This window comes from Homo sapiens, chromosome 16 (genome assembly GCF_000001405.40).
Source record: "Homo sapiens chromosome 16, GRCh38.p14 Primary Assembly".
NCBI lineage: Eukaryota > Metazoa > Chordata > Mammalia > Primates > Hominidae > Homo > Homo sapiens.
Window position 1 is genome coordinate 15,023,168 of NC_000016.10, and position 12,459 is coordinate 15,035,626.

Here is a 12,459-nt window from a genome sequence, read left to right on the forward strand (position 1 = left end):
TTGCATGAAGTGGGAGAAAGAGAAAAGCAAATGGCCCTGCTCTTGTCTTCTGATATCTTCCTGAAGTGAATCCAACAGATTGTTCCCTAGGCATAACTAGACAAGGAAATAAGGACTTAGGAGAGAATGGGGATCAGTTCAGGTTTGAAAGTTTTTGTGTTTTGCTTCATGGTATTTTAGAACTTCAGGAAATATATGTCAAATTCTGATTTAAATAGGTTCATTGAGTGTTTCTTTGACAATTCTGCAAGGTATGCTTAAGTTTAACATTTGAGTGTATTTGGGGTTCAAGTCAGTAGGTTTATTTTTCTTTTAGAACATGGTTTGGTTTAAATACAAAAAGTAGCCGCGCATGGTGGCACACGCCTGTAGTCCCAGCTACTGGGGAGGCTGAAGTGAAAGAATTGCTTGAACCCGGGAGGCGGAGGTTGCAGTGAGCCGAGATTGCGCCTCTGCACTCCAGCCTGGGTGACAGAGACCCTGTCTCAAGGAAGAAAAAAAAATGCATGGTTTGGTTGAAGGGGGTGTGGCTACTCTGCCTTCTGAGTGGGAGTCTGGAGCCAGTTGACCCGAGTTCTAGCTCAGTGGGAGTTCTATCCTTGGACGAGGAAGTGGACCACTGGAGAAGCAGAAGGGATGAATCTAAGTTCAGAGGCCTGGGCTCTGCTCTGAGCAGTGCCACAGGGTGGCCCTGTGACATTGAGTCATTTTCTTTCCAAGCTTGACTGTCAAATGAAAGTATGCCGGTTGGTCTCCTCTGATTGCAAACAGAGAAGCAAATTATGGCCTAGATTGAGCAAGCTGTTAAGAATCCAGGCGGTGCTGGGCCCATCTGCTTTCCTGCCCCTGCCATGTTGAGCGCACTTGGCTTTTCCTCAGTCATCGCTGCTCCCTTATTCTCAAATTGGGGGACCCAGTGGTGCTAGTTAATCACCAGTTGTTTTGGAGCATCTCTGTAGGCCACACTGGCCCAGGCAGAAAGCCTGCTCTGTCCCTTCTTCCAATGGCTGTTTTTTCAGTAGAGGATACAATAATTGGCTAATACCATGAGGCATTATGGCCTGTGAGTCCTCATCATCACCATCACCATCACCACCATTCCAGCTGCTGCTTGTGAAATTCATGTGTGGTACTAAGTACCTTACATGAATTATTTCATTTAACCCTCCCAACAGTCTCCTTTGTATGTGCTGTTCTCTCTGCCTGGAAACACTGTTTCCCACCCCCCGTCCCCAATTCTTCTGTTTATTTTTTTTTGAGACAGAGTCTCACTATGTAGCCCAGACTGGAGTGCAGTGGTGCGATCTTGGCTCACTCTAACCTCCGCCTCCTGGGTCCCTGTTCAAGCAGTTCTCCTGCCTCAGCCTCCCGAGTAGCTGGGGTTACAGGCGCATGCCACCATGTCCAGCTAATTTCTGTATTTTTAGTAGAGATGGGGTTTCACCATGTTGGCCAGGCTGGTCTTGAACTCTTGACCTCGTGATCCACCCGCCTCAGCCTCCCAAAGTGCTGGGATTACAGGCATGAGCCAAAGCGCCCAGCCTCCCCAGTCCCAATTCTTCTCATGACTGGTTTCTTATCTTTCAGATCTTAATTCAAATCTCACCTCTTCAGAAAGGCCTTTCCTGGCCACCCTAAGATCATCTCCCACCGTCAGACATCACTCCATCCCCCTGGGTCGTCTTCATCACTCTTACTACTATCTGAAATCAAATCTGTTTGTTTTTTCCTATAGAAGGTTTGTAAAGGCCTTATACAGACTCACCACTGTGCCTCACCTGGGCATTAACACCCAAGACCCTAGCCCTGAAAGCCCAGTGCCAGGCCCCAGACATGCTCCCATCCCCTGCCACTCAGCTTACAGTCCTCTTTCTGTTTCCTCTTCTTTGTGGATTCACCTTTTTTTGGGTGTGAGCCCAGCCATGGTTTAACCTTTTTTTGGTTCTTGGTTATATTTAATCCAGTATTTCAGATATTCAGAATTGACAACTTCAGTGTTCACTCAGTCTATCACGTTACTAGAACCAGAAGTGTCTCCAACCCTGTATACTATTTCTTACACACATTGACATTTGAGACCACTGAGTTCAAAGAAAGAAAAGATGATCATAATATTCATAGCAGTCTTGGCACTCACCTCATTCTGCCATCTCCTAGCTGAGGATGGGAGAATGGGCGGATTATTTTGTTGCCTTTTTGTTCCTCCTTGCTTATTGGGCGTGCGCCCCTATTTAAATATTAAGCACCGCCCCCCTGCCGCCCGCCGCCGTACCTTTAAAAGTATCACGTTTTATTTGTCTCTGTGAAAGTTAAAGATGATAGATGTGAAGGCACTTAGCACAGGACTGGCCCCCTAAATAATTGGCAGATTTGAATTCACATCCTGCTTGGTATGAATACTGTCCACACGGTCCTTTGAAAAGTTAGTAGAAAAGATCTTGGGCCACTGCTTCTTGTCTTTCCAAGTTAGCATTTCCTGTTGCGGCCCTACCAGTGAGTCATCACACTCAGAGCCTTGGAACATAAGTTTTATTACTAGAGCTATAGTACTGGGATTGTTGGATGCTTAGAGATCTTCCCCCTCCAGGGCCACCCACACTCCCCTACAGTACCACAGAGCCTGCCAAGGACATGGATGCTTACGGTACCCTGACCCCATGGCTTGACCAAGTCAGGGTATACTGTTTGATGCAAAACAGGAACTCGCTGCTGGATTATCATAATACATAATGCAGTGGATGTTTTCAACTGTTAGGAAACCCACTAATGAAGTTAGTCGTCTTCGGCCTGTCTTTAATAATAATTAAATATATTAGAAAATACACAGATCCAGTTCTCAGCTGTGCTTGTCTACATCACCAGCAGGACTTGCATCTTGTTCTGAAAGTTTTGCAAAGGGGAGGAAAGTACTTGTTGCCCCCTCTTTTTTTCTATGAGTATGAAAAATTCTAGTTGGCCAGGCACGGTGTCTCACGTCTGTAATCCCAACACTTGGAAAGCCAAAGTAGGAGGATTAATTGAGGCCAAGAGTTCAAGGCCAGCCTGGACAACATAGCAAGACCCCATCTCTAAAAAAACCGTTTAAGTTTCAATAAATCCTGCATAATTTCTGGGATTCTTGAAAGCATGGGCTCTCTCCGCACTGAGTCTAGTTTCACTGCTTCTTACTGGTTTTAATCTTTAATGTTAGACCTATGTTTATCCCTTATTAAAATTTCCCCCTGCTTTAATTTCAATGTACCAGGGTCAAACATCTTATAATTCACAGTGTACTCTCAAGGCTGGCTCATAGTTATTTTTTAAAATTTTACTAAACATTTGATTTTTCTCTAGCAACTGAAATTAACCTCTGAACTTTTTAGTGTGTTTATTTACAAATAGAGCATTTCTAAGCGAGTTTTTGAACTCAGCATTTCATTTTGAAGGCGTCTGGAGTTTAATGTTACTTGGTGATATGAGACTTCCATTCTTCCAGGTGGAAGATGAGCTCAGCTCCCCAGTGGTGGTGTTCAGATTTTTCCAGGAATTACCAGGCTCAGGTCGGTGAATTTTAAAAGAGGGTTATTTTCATATCTGTGTTAAAGGCTTTGAATTTGATACCATTTCAAGTTAAATAGTTCAAAATATTTTTATTGCTGACAATCTTCAGTCAGCATTTCAGAAAAATGTAATAATTTTCATGAAAACTACAGTCCGAAACGCCTTAGCAATTTGCTGATAGTTTGCGGTGATTAAACCAGGGGTTCCCAAATGCCAGTCCCTGGACCAGTGCTGGAATGGCTAAGAAAGAGTTGCTTGAACATAAAGATTTGTGGGTCTTACTTCCCACATATTTTGAGTCAATAGGTTGTGCCCAGGAATCTGTATCTTAAAGAATGACCCAAGTGCCACCAGTCTAGTCCAGGGCACCACTCTTTTTTTACCTGGTTGGCCATTGTCCCCTGTCAACTGACCTCTGACTTTCATACATTCTACACAGCCCATTCCAGACCATTCTCCACCTGGCAGAGAGGGTTATAAGTGGAAGTCACATGGTGTTGAAACCGGAAAGGTTCCCTTGTCCCCCTCGCAGGGCATGTGATGGGGGTGTGGCTCGCTTCTTCAGTGCCCCGCTGCTGCTCAGACCTCTAGGAGAGCATACAGACGGGCAGGCTGTGGGGCTCCGACCCCATGGCAGCATCTGGGGGTGAATGTTTTACAGCTCCTAAGGCTCCAGCGGGCATGTGTTACAGTGTGCTCTTTTAATTTAGCCGTCTGTAGGCAGCTTGTTTTAGCTCACTTAGACCCCCTTCCTTATCACAAGGACAGAGGGATTAATGTATCCCAGGTTCTTGTCTTGGTGTACCGGAAGAATGGGATCACATGTGGGCTTGGAGAATGAGTGCAAGGTTTTATTGAATGAAAGTAGCTCTCCGCTGATGGGGGAGCCAGAAGGGAGACAGATTTCCCTTGGAGTTGGGCCGCTCAGCGGCCCTGGCCAAACTCCGCCTCGTCCCCGTGGTTGATGGCCTGCTGGCTTGCCGGGGCCTGTCGGGGTGCTCTTCTGCCGGCCTGCTCTCCATGACCAGCCGCTTGTGTCTTTTTCCACCAATGTGTTCCTCTGGCCATCCAGCCACTTCTGTCTGCCCACTAGGGTCTCAGGTTTTTATAGGCCCAGGATGGTGGTGTGGTGGGCCAGCGTGGTCTTGGGAAATGCAACATTTGGGGGAAGGCAGGAGTGCTTGTCCTCACCTAGGTCCGTGGGGGTAGAGTCCTAGCCAGGGACCCGCCTTTCTCTCCCCAGCACTTCCCTTCCCCGCTTCTGTGTCATTTAAAGGGACCACGCTCTTCCCTTCCCAGCACTCCCGTATCAGTGTCACTTCCCTGCCCAGAGCCCCTGGGTATCTTACCATTTCGGTCGAACAAAGGCCAGGCTCTCCCATGCCCCATGAGGCCTGCACACTCTGCCCCGAATTCGCTTCTGCCTTCCCCCCTTCCACTCTCCCTCTTGTTCGTTGTGCCTCAGTCAGACCAGTCTTCTCCGCGCTCCAGAACACTCTGCCCTTTCCTACCGCAAGGGCTTAACACTCGGCGTTCCCTCTGTCTTACACACATTTCTCTCTTCTGGTGCCAGCTCCTCCTCACCATTTCGGTCTCCACTAAGTATCCACATCCTCAGCCTTCCCTGCCTATCGTGCCTGAGGGGACTCCATCATTTTCTATCAGAGCCCCCAGCTTCACTTGTGACACTAACAACCACATGGAGTGATTTTCTTTCTTTATGGTCTGTTTCCTCAACTAAAATGTAAGCTCCAAGATGACAGAAACCTTACCTGCCTTCTGTCCCAAGTGTCGGGCTCTGTGCCTGGCACGGGTTGGCACCCACTGTGAGGCCTAGTTAGATGATCGTGGCACTCACAGACCTCGCACGGTGCTTGGTAAACTAGTTAGTAACTTAAAACAATTGCTGTTTCCCCTTGAAATCCCTTGAAAGCAAACCTTTTCAAAAATGAAATTAATAATTCTGTCTTATGTGAATGTATTCAAGTGTTACATAGATCACGAGGAAAAAGAAATGTAGCCCTTCTGTCAGATAATACATGAGAATTCAGTAATACGAGTCAGTGCCCTGGGGCTAATATTGGGATGGGAATGATGTGGGGTTTGGAGGGTGTTTTTTTTGGTCAGCCGTGTTTCTGGGAGTGACTCCCTTTCTGTGTTTTGGTGTCAGATCCGGTGTTTAAAGCCGTCCCAGTGCCCAACATGACACCTTCAGGAGTCGGCCGGGAGAGGCACTCGTGTGACGCGCTGAATCGCTGGGTGAGAATGGCAGTCACCCCCCTTTCCTTTCAGGTCCCCGTCCATCACCATCCGACCTGCTGGTGAGGGTGACGCGTGCTCGTGTATGGGAACTGAGGCCCACAGGAGGAGCCGCCCTGCCAGTGCTGGGCCTGCTCTGGAGTTCTGTTCCCCATTGCGTTACCACCTCACGAGCTGGGTCACCTCTGGCAAGTCCTTCTGGCATTGCTCCCTCACTTTCCTTGCTGCTGTATAAGGCTGTGAGACAACAGGCAAAAGGTGGGCTGCAGGGCAGCTGCGGTGGGTTCTGGTGAGCCTGGGCAGCACAGCCGGGAGCCCCAGGCAGAGTCTGCCGAGCATCTGCAGCTGGCAGTGTGGAGCCAGGCCTGCACTTTGATAGCGTTTTGGGCACTGAATAGCAGCTCTAGGATTTGAGTCTGAAGGGTCTTGTGAACAGTGTGGGATGGCGGCAGCAGCAGTTCTAGCCAATGCTGGACACGCCCAGCCTAGCAGGGTTGGCAGATAAGTCCTGGTACATCCATGCTGGGGCTCAGCACAGCTGTGAGAGACCACAGAGCTGAGTGTCTCAAGCAGAAAGGAACTGGTCATAAACGAAATGAATCAATGCAGGTTACTAAGCAGTGTCAAGTAGCATGTTTTATGACAACAACTACAACTCCCTGCCCGCCACTAGGAGAAAAGACGCTGGGGGCAGACCACATGTCAGCAGTGGGTGTCGCTTAGTAATATATTGTGGGTCATTGTTATTTTCTTCTTTTTGTTTACTTGTATTTCCTAAATTTTTCTACAATGAACTTGTATTAATAAGAAAAAACCATAAAATTTACTGTTTTTAAAAAGCTGCTCTAAGTAATCAGACAGTCAAAAGAGCAGGAATCAGCTCTCCAGGAGGCTCTTTGGTCTGGGGCCGAGGGGATGAGGGTGGGTCCTGAAGACGTCTGAGTCCCTTGTTACAGGAGGGTGTTCATTGTGTCCTCCTCACAGCTGGGAGAACAGCTGAAGCAGCTGGTGCCTGCAAGCGGCCTCACAGTCATGGATCTGGAAGCTGAGGGCACGTGTTTGCGGTTCAGCCCTTTGATGACCGCAGCAGGTAAACCAGGCTTGGTGGACATCCCTTGCTTTTGTTCTGGGGCTGCTGGGTAGATTAGCTTGCCCTTATGATACTCCATTCTCCTAGAGTTATTAGCAGCTCTTTTTGGAGGGGCATTTTCTTTTCTTTTGGGCTAAATTTAGGTAGATTAGCATTCCCATGTAACTTACCAGAATCAGAATGAGAATTCAGAAGTCACCTGAATTGGCCGGGCATGGTGGCTCACACCTGTAATCCCAGCACCTTGGGAGGCCAAGGCAGGCAGATCATCTGAGGTCAGGAGTTCGAGACCAGCCTGGCCAACATAGTGAAATCCCGCCCCTACTAAGAATACAAAAAATTAGCCAGGCATGGTGGTACACACCTGCAGTCCCAGCTACTTGGGAGGCTGAGGCAGGAGAATCACTTGAACCTGGGAGGCCGAGGTTGCAGTGAGCTGAGATTACACCACTGCACTCCAGCCTGGGGGACAGAGGAGACTCCATCTCAAAAAAAAAAAAAAAAAAAAAAAAAGTCATCACATGAATTCCTTTTTTGTTGTTGTTGAGACAGGGTCTTGCTCTGTCACCCAGGCTGGAGTGCAGTGGTGCGATCATGGCTCACTGCAGCCTTGACCTCCTGGGCTCAAGTGATCTTCCCACCTCAGCCCCCGAGGAGTTGGGACCACAGGCATGAGCCACCACACTGGACTAATTTTTGCATTTTTTGTAGAAATGGGGTTTTGCCACGTTGGCCAGGCTGGAATTCCTATATTTTGATGTCTTGTGACTCTCGATTTTCCACTACAAGGGTTCTCACTCCCCACTGCACATTAGAGTCATCCGGGAGCTTTACACACAACCAGTGGCCGCCCACCCCCAGAGATTCTAGAATGGAGCCTGGGGATCTGTGTTTTGGTTTTTATTTTTTTTTTAGAAACAGGGTCTCATTTGTCACCCTGGCTGGAATGCAGTGTCTTCACCATAGCTCATTGCAACCTCGACCTCCTGGGCTCAAGCAATCCCCTGCCTCAGCCTCCCAAGGAGCTGGGACTACAGGCGAGCACCACCACATCTATTTTTTTTTTTTTTTTTTTTTTTCCATAGAGACGTGGTCTCACTCTGTCACCCAGGCTGCTCTTGAACTCCTGGCCTTAAGTGATCCTCCTGGCTCAGATTCCCAAAGCACTGGCCACTATAAGGATTGCCTGGCCACAGCTCTAGATACTTAGTCTCTAAAACTGCAAAAGTAAGCCAGTGAGCCCTGAGGCCCGGCGCTGTCACCATCTCCCTGTCCTTCCTGTGTGGGGACAGCAGCCCACCACAGTACTTCCCTTTCTCTCAGTCATAGGAATGTACAGAATCTGTGGTTGCCTTTTTGTGCTGAACCTATGGTGTGATGTCTCCAGCCTGCCTGAAGTAGGCTTGCTGTGGGAAGAGTGATTTCTAACACTGGAGTATGTCATTGTGGGCCACATCTGTGAGAGAAACACTCCACACCTGCTACAGCCAGCTGTGTCTGTTTCTAACCCTAATTCTTCCATATCTGTGTTGAGGGCCTTTTTTTGTTTAAATCTCCATGGCTCCCGGTAACTGGAGTACCTCGAGCTTTTGACCTTCCCAGTAGTGGAAGAGGGAGCCCTGCCCTCTTGTCATTGGCCATCTCGTGAGCATTTCTCTGACATTGTGAACATCTTCAGTTTTAGGAACTCGGGGAGAGGATGTGGATCAGCTCGTAGCCTGCATAGAAAGCAAACTGCCAGTGCTGTGCTGTACGCTCCAGTTGCGTGAAGAGTTCAAGCAGGAAGTGGAAGCAACAGCAGGTCTCCTATATGTTGATGACCCTAACTGGTCTGGAATAGGGGTTGTCAGGTAAAGTCTTGGCCTGCCGCTTGATGTTGGAGACTTTTCTGTATAAAGAACATGAGTGGGTCATTTTCTGAACCACCTTAGAAATCCAAGATGAACGTGTAGTCACAATATGCTTAACGAAAATGCAACTCGGTTTTCTGGGCATTTACAAAAGCACAGTGCAAGCAGGCAATTTGGCCAGCGTGGCGCTCAGGGAGGGGAGTTGCTGAATGTTCTGTCTGTAGGTGCCGACTCTCAGCTACCTAGGAGAAGATGCCAACAGGTATATATCACTCACTGAGAATGGTTACTATCCAGGGCATATAGAGAATTGCAAATCAGTAAGAAAAAGAACCCAGCTCTCGGGGAGAGAACTGGGTGCAGTCCTATGGCTGCTTTCTCGCCTTCAGAGGTGAGGCAAACCTCTTTTTGTATTGCCCATGAGACTTCCAGACCTTGTATGGAACTAAAGACTTAGGCTTTCAGCTGGGCACGGTGGCTCATGCCTGTAATCCCAGCACTTTGGGAGGCCAACAGGAGCATAGATGACTTGAGGCCAGGAGCTTGAGTCCAGCCTGGACAACATGGCGAAACCCCATCTCTAGAAAAAATACAAAAATTAGCCAGAGGTGGTGGTGCACACCTGTAGTCCCAGCTACTCGGGAAGCTTAGATGGAAGGATCAACTGAGCCCAGGAGGTGGAGGTTGCAGTGAGCCAAGATCATGCCACTGCACCCCAGCCTGGGCCACCAAGTGAGACCCTGCTTTAAAAAAAAAAAAAAAAGGCTTTCCTGTGACTTTCTCTTTACTCCTGGCACACTTCCAGAAAGTTTGTGGTCTGGAGACACTCGCAGTAGCTCTTTTGCCCACTGGTTCCACTGCATTGTCTTGCTAATATTTAGAGGTTTCTAATCCTGTATCAGAAGAGACATTTGATCTTTTAAGCTGAAATGCTGTGGTTTGATGTTGTTTTAGGTATGAACATGCTAATGATGATAAGAGCAGTTTGAAATCAGATCCCGAAGGGGAAAACATCCATGCTGGACTCCTGAAGAAGTTAAATGAACTGGAATCTGACCTAACCTTTAAAATAGGTAACTGCTTACTTTGTAAGTCAGCTGTGGGGTTTGGAAGGACACTTGGTAACCGGCTTTGAAGACGACGGCTCATCCCTTAGCGGGCTAGCGCCTCTCGGGCTGGGTTCCAGGCGAAGATGCGGTTCTGAGACCTCCCTCCCCTTCTGCAGCCTTGCCAGGCCTTTCTCTCCGCCCTTAGAATCTCCATGGAGGAGACCCCTTTGTGTGTGGTCAGGACCCTGAACAGGAGAGTAGGTCCACGTCTCACCCATGACAGAGGACTGAGAAACTCAAGTTTGTCTCGTTACCTTTGCAGGCCCTGAGTATAAGAGCATGAAGAGCTGCCTTTATGTCGGCATGGCGAGCGACAACGTCGATGCTGCTGAGCTCGTGGAGACCATTGCGGCCACAGCCCGGGAGATAGAGGAGAACTCGAGGGTCCGTAGCACCCATCAGTGTTCATTCCTCTTCTGAGTTTTGTCCCACCAAACAGCAGGGGCCACGAGGAAAGCAGCTGCCCTTGGGATGTCTGTTCGTTGTCTCTCAAAGTCTGTCAATGTTTCCTGTAAGCTGGGCCTTGTGCCAGGTGTCAGAGATGCCAAGTAGGTTTGACACAGCCCATGCCCCAGTGATCTCACAAGCTCAGGGGGAAAGATCCACATAGCCACGCTGTGTAGTAACCCTGCCTTAGAGAAGAGGGCGGGTAGCTGGACACTCAGGCAGACACATTCACCCCTGCCACCAAGGTCAGGGAGGACTTCTGCTCTGGAGCTGTGTCCTGAGGGTGAATGAAATGGGCTGTTGTATGTGTGGTTCCCCCTACACCCCTTCCCTATAGCACTTCCCACCAGGAATAGACCTACTGCTGTGGGTCCCTTAGCATGGAGGACCAGGATACAAGGCTGATAAGGTATCCTCCAAACAGATGATTACTTCCCTAAAAATCACTCAAAAGGAGAGAAGAGGGACCAAGGTAAGACTGCTCTGAAAGGAGAGAGACACGAGCCATTGGACATGCGGCCGAGAAGCCAGCTTCATTCCTTTCTGGGTGGACTCCTTAAGGTTTCTTTCCAGCCTGACTTTATGACTTCTCTGTTTTCAAGAATACGTAGCAAATGAGGCTGGTCACCAAGGTGTGTCTGCCTAGGCCTCTATGAGCATGTTATCTGCTTGTCTTTGAGTTTCTGTTCGTTTTACGCCGGCTTTTCAATGCAGGATTTCATTGACCTGCTTTTGAAAAATTCCCTCAGTGCTGTGTTACTAGCTCTTCTGGGCCCCAGGTGAGAACCTTAAACAAGTAATGTCTTTCTTGGTCTTGCCACAGCTTCTGGAAAACATGACAGAAGTGGTTCGGAAAGGCATTCAGGAAGCTCAAGTGGAGCTGCAGAAGGCAAGTGAAGAACGGCTTCTGGAAGAGGTGAGGCCCCCGATGGGCAGCAGGCTGGGGGAGCCGCCGTGAGGCCAGGTGGCCCTGAACTCTGGTCCTGTCTTGCAGGGGGTGTTGCGGCAGATCCCTGTAGTGGGCTCCGTGCTGAATTGGTTTTCTCCGGTCCAGGCTTTACAGAAGGGAAGAACTTTTAACTTGACAGCAGGTAGGACGGCATAGCCTCTTCCCAGGTCTTGCTGACCTTGGGAGGTTTCACCAAATGCCCTTGGGTCCCAACACTTCCCACTGAGAATCCCGCCCTGGTTCCCGTTCTTCATCACTGGGTGTGGGCCGGACATCTGAGGAGACAAGTTCTGGTGTGCCCTGTCCTCCTCCCCACCGCACCCTGGCGGCTGAAACAGCAAGGAAGCAGCTACCCACTCTCCACAGCTGTCACCACCGCAAGGCCATGAGGACACGCCCACTCAGCCGTGCAGACTCTCAGGGTGCTGTGTCTTGGGCATTTTGGTTCAGGGTTAATACTTCTTGTCTTCATGTGTGTTCTGCCCCAGCAGAGGACAGCTTTTGCAAGTGGCAATGCAGAGACTGAAGCATGGAGTGCTGGCACGGTTTATTTTGAACCAGGCAGCCAGCAAGCGTTTCAGCCGCTGGAATGTGGGGAGGGTGTTAACAGTCCGTGACTCCTTTCCTGTTCTACCAAGGAAATAATTTCCTACACTCGAGCCCCTTCCTTCATTCTTTCCCAGGAAACGATGACTCCATTGTCATGAAAGCAAAAGATAATCTGATTTCTAATCTGCCAAGCCTTAGCCTTCAGCAAAAAGGCACCCACTTCTTGTGGCTACAGTACGTTTCCCTGTTGGGCCTGGCTCCCTGGGTGTGCTTACGCCATACTGCTGGCGGATGCTGGCGGTACTGGCCCTGTGAGGTGGCTTTCTCTAGCTCACGGCACATTCATAAGTGCCCTTCTCTCCACCAGTCTGTGGCAGGCTCAGTGGCTGGAAGGAGGTTATTGGGGAGCAAGGCTGTGTGAGGGCAGGTGGTGTCTTCAAGGGCAGCCTGTGCCTGTAGCTTCTACCCAGCCCTCTCCTCTCCCGCAGGCTCTCTGGAGTCCACAGAACCCATATATGTCTACAAAGCACAAGGTGCAGGAGTCACGCTGCCTCCAACGCCCTCGGGCAGTCGCACCAAGCAGAGGCTTCCAGGTAAGTGACGCCTCTGCACCGAGTTCAGGTAACAGGTTTCCCCTGTTGACTGTTACTTGCGTTTGTTTTCTGG

The 12,459-nt window shown here is 49.2% G+C and overlaps 1 protein-coding gene across 23 annotated transcripts in view, besides 5 other annotated features; it reads left to right on the plus strand.

Moving 5' to 3' along the window:
• PDXDC1 (pyridoxal dependent decarboxylase domain containing 1) overlaps positions 1–12,459 on the plus strand; it is a 178,484-nt gene that overhangs the window by 48,433 nt on the left and 117,592 nt on the right. For 13 of the 23 annotated variants that reach the window (XM_017023059.2, XM_047433788.1, XM_006720865.3 and 10 more), the window contains 9 exons: positions 3,476–3,539; positions 5,711–5,799; positions 6,784–6,889; positions 8,568–8,739; positions 9,694–9,812; positions 10,111–10,232; positions 11,119–11,211; positions 11,290–11,386; positions 12,282–12,386. In XM_017023059.2, the coding sequence (XP_016878548.1) occupies positions 3,476–3,539; positions 5,711–5,799; positions 6,784–6,889; positions 8,568–8,739; positions 9,694–9,812; positions 10,111–10,232; positions 11,119–11,211; positions 11,290–11,386; positions 12,282–12,386 (967 nt within the window). Of the gene's footprint in view, positions 1–3,475; positions 3,540–5,710; positions 6,639–6,783; positions 6,890–8,567; positions 8,740–9,693; positions 9,813–10,110; positions 10,233–11,118; positions 11,212–11,289; positions 11,387–12,281; positions 12,387–12,459 lie in introns of those variants that run through there. The other 10 variants (XM_024450194.2, XM_017023065.2, XM_047433790.1 and 7 more) reach the window with 2 other exon arrangements.
• Positions 2,045–2,339: a silencer, noted in NCBI's record as "tiled region #1947; HepG2 Repressive non-DNase unmatched - State 15:Elon". NCBI's record gives its function as "weakly represses a minimal TATA promoter and a strong SV40 promoter by Sharpr-MPRA in HepG2 cells {active_cell/tissue: HepG2}" and the evidence as "EXISTENCE:reporter gene assay evidence [ECO:0000049][PMID:27701403]".
• Positions 2,045–2,339: an enhancer, noted in NCBI's record as "tiled region #1947; K562 Activating non-DNase unmatched - State 17:Gen3'". NCBI's record gives its function as "activates a minimal TATA promoter and a strong SV40 promoter by Sharpr-MPRA in K562 cells {active_cell/tissue: K562}" and the evidence as "EXISTENCE:reporter gene assay evidence [ECO:0000049][PMID:27701403]".
• Positions 3,945–4,568: an enhancer, noted in NCBI's record as "H3K27ac-H3K4me1 hESC enhancer chr16:15120969-15121592 (GRCh37/hg19 assembly coordinates)". NCBI's record gives its function as "activates a minimal SCP1, AML or CMV promoter by ChIP-STARR-seq in naive H9 embryonic stem cells {active_cell/tissue: H9 hESC(naive)}" and the evidence as "EXISTENCE:reporter gene assay evidence [ECO:0000049][PMID:30033119]".
• Positions 4,569–5,192: an enhancer, noted in NCBI's record as "H3K27ac-H3K4me1 hESC enhancer chr16:15121593-15122216 (GRCh37/hg19 assembly coordinates)". NCBI's record gives its function as "activates a minimal SCP1, AML or CMV promoter by ChIP-STARR-seq in primed H9 embryonic stem cells {active_cell/tissue: H9 hESC(primed)}" and the evidence as "EXISTENCE:reporter gene assay evidence [ECO:0000049][PMID:30033119]".
• Positions 5,474–6,006: an enhancer, noted in NCBI's record as "H3K27ac-H3K4me1 hESC enhancer chr16:15122498-15123030 (GRCh37/hg19 assembly coordinates)". NCBI's record gives its function as "activates a minimal SCP1, AML or CMV promoter by ChIP-STARR-seq in primed H9 embryonic stem cells {active_cell/tissue: H9 hESC(primed)}" and the evidence as "EXISTENCE:reporter gene assay evidence [ECO:0000049][PMID:30033119]".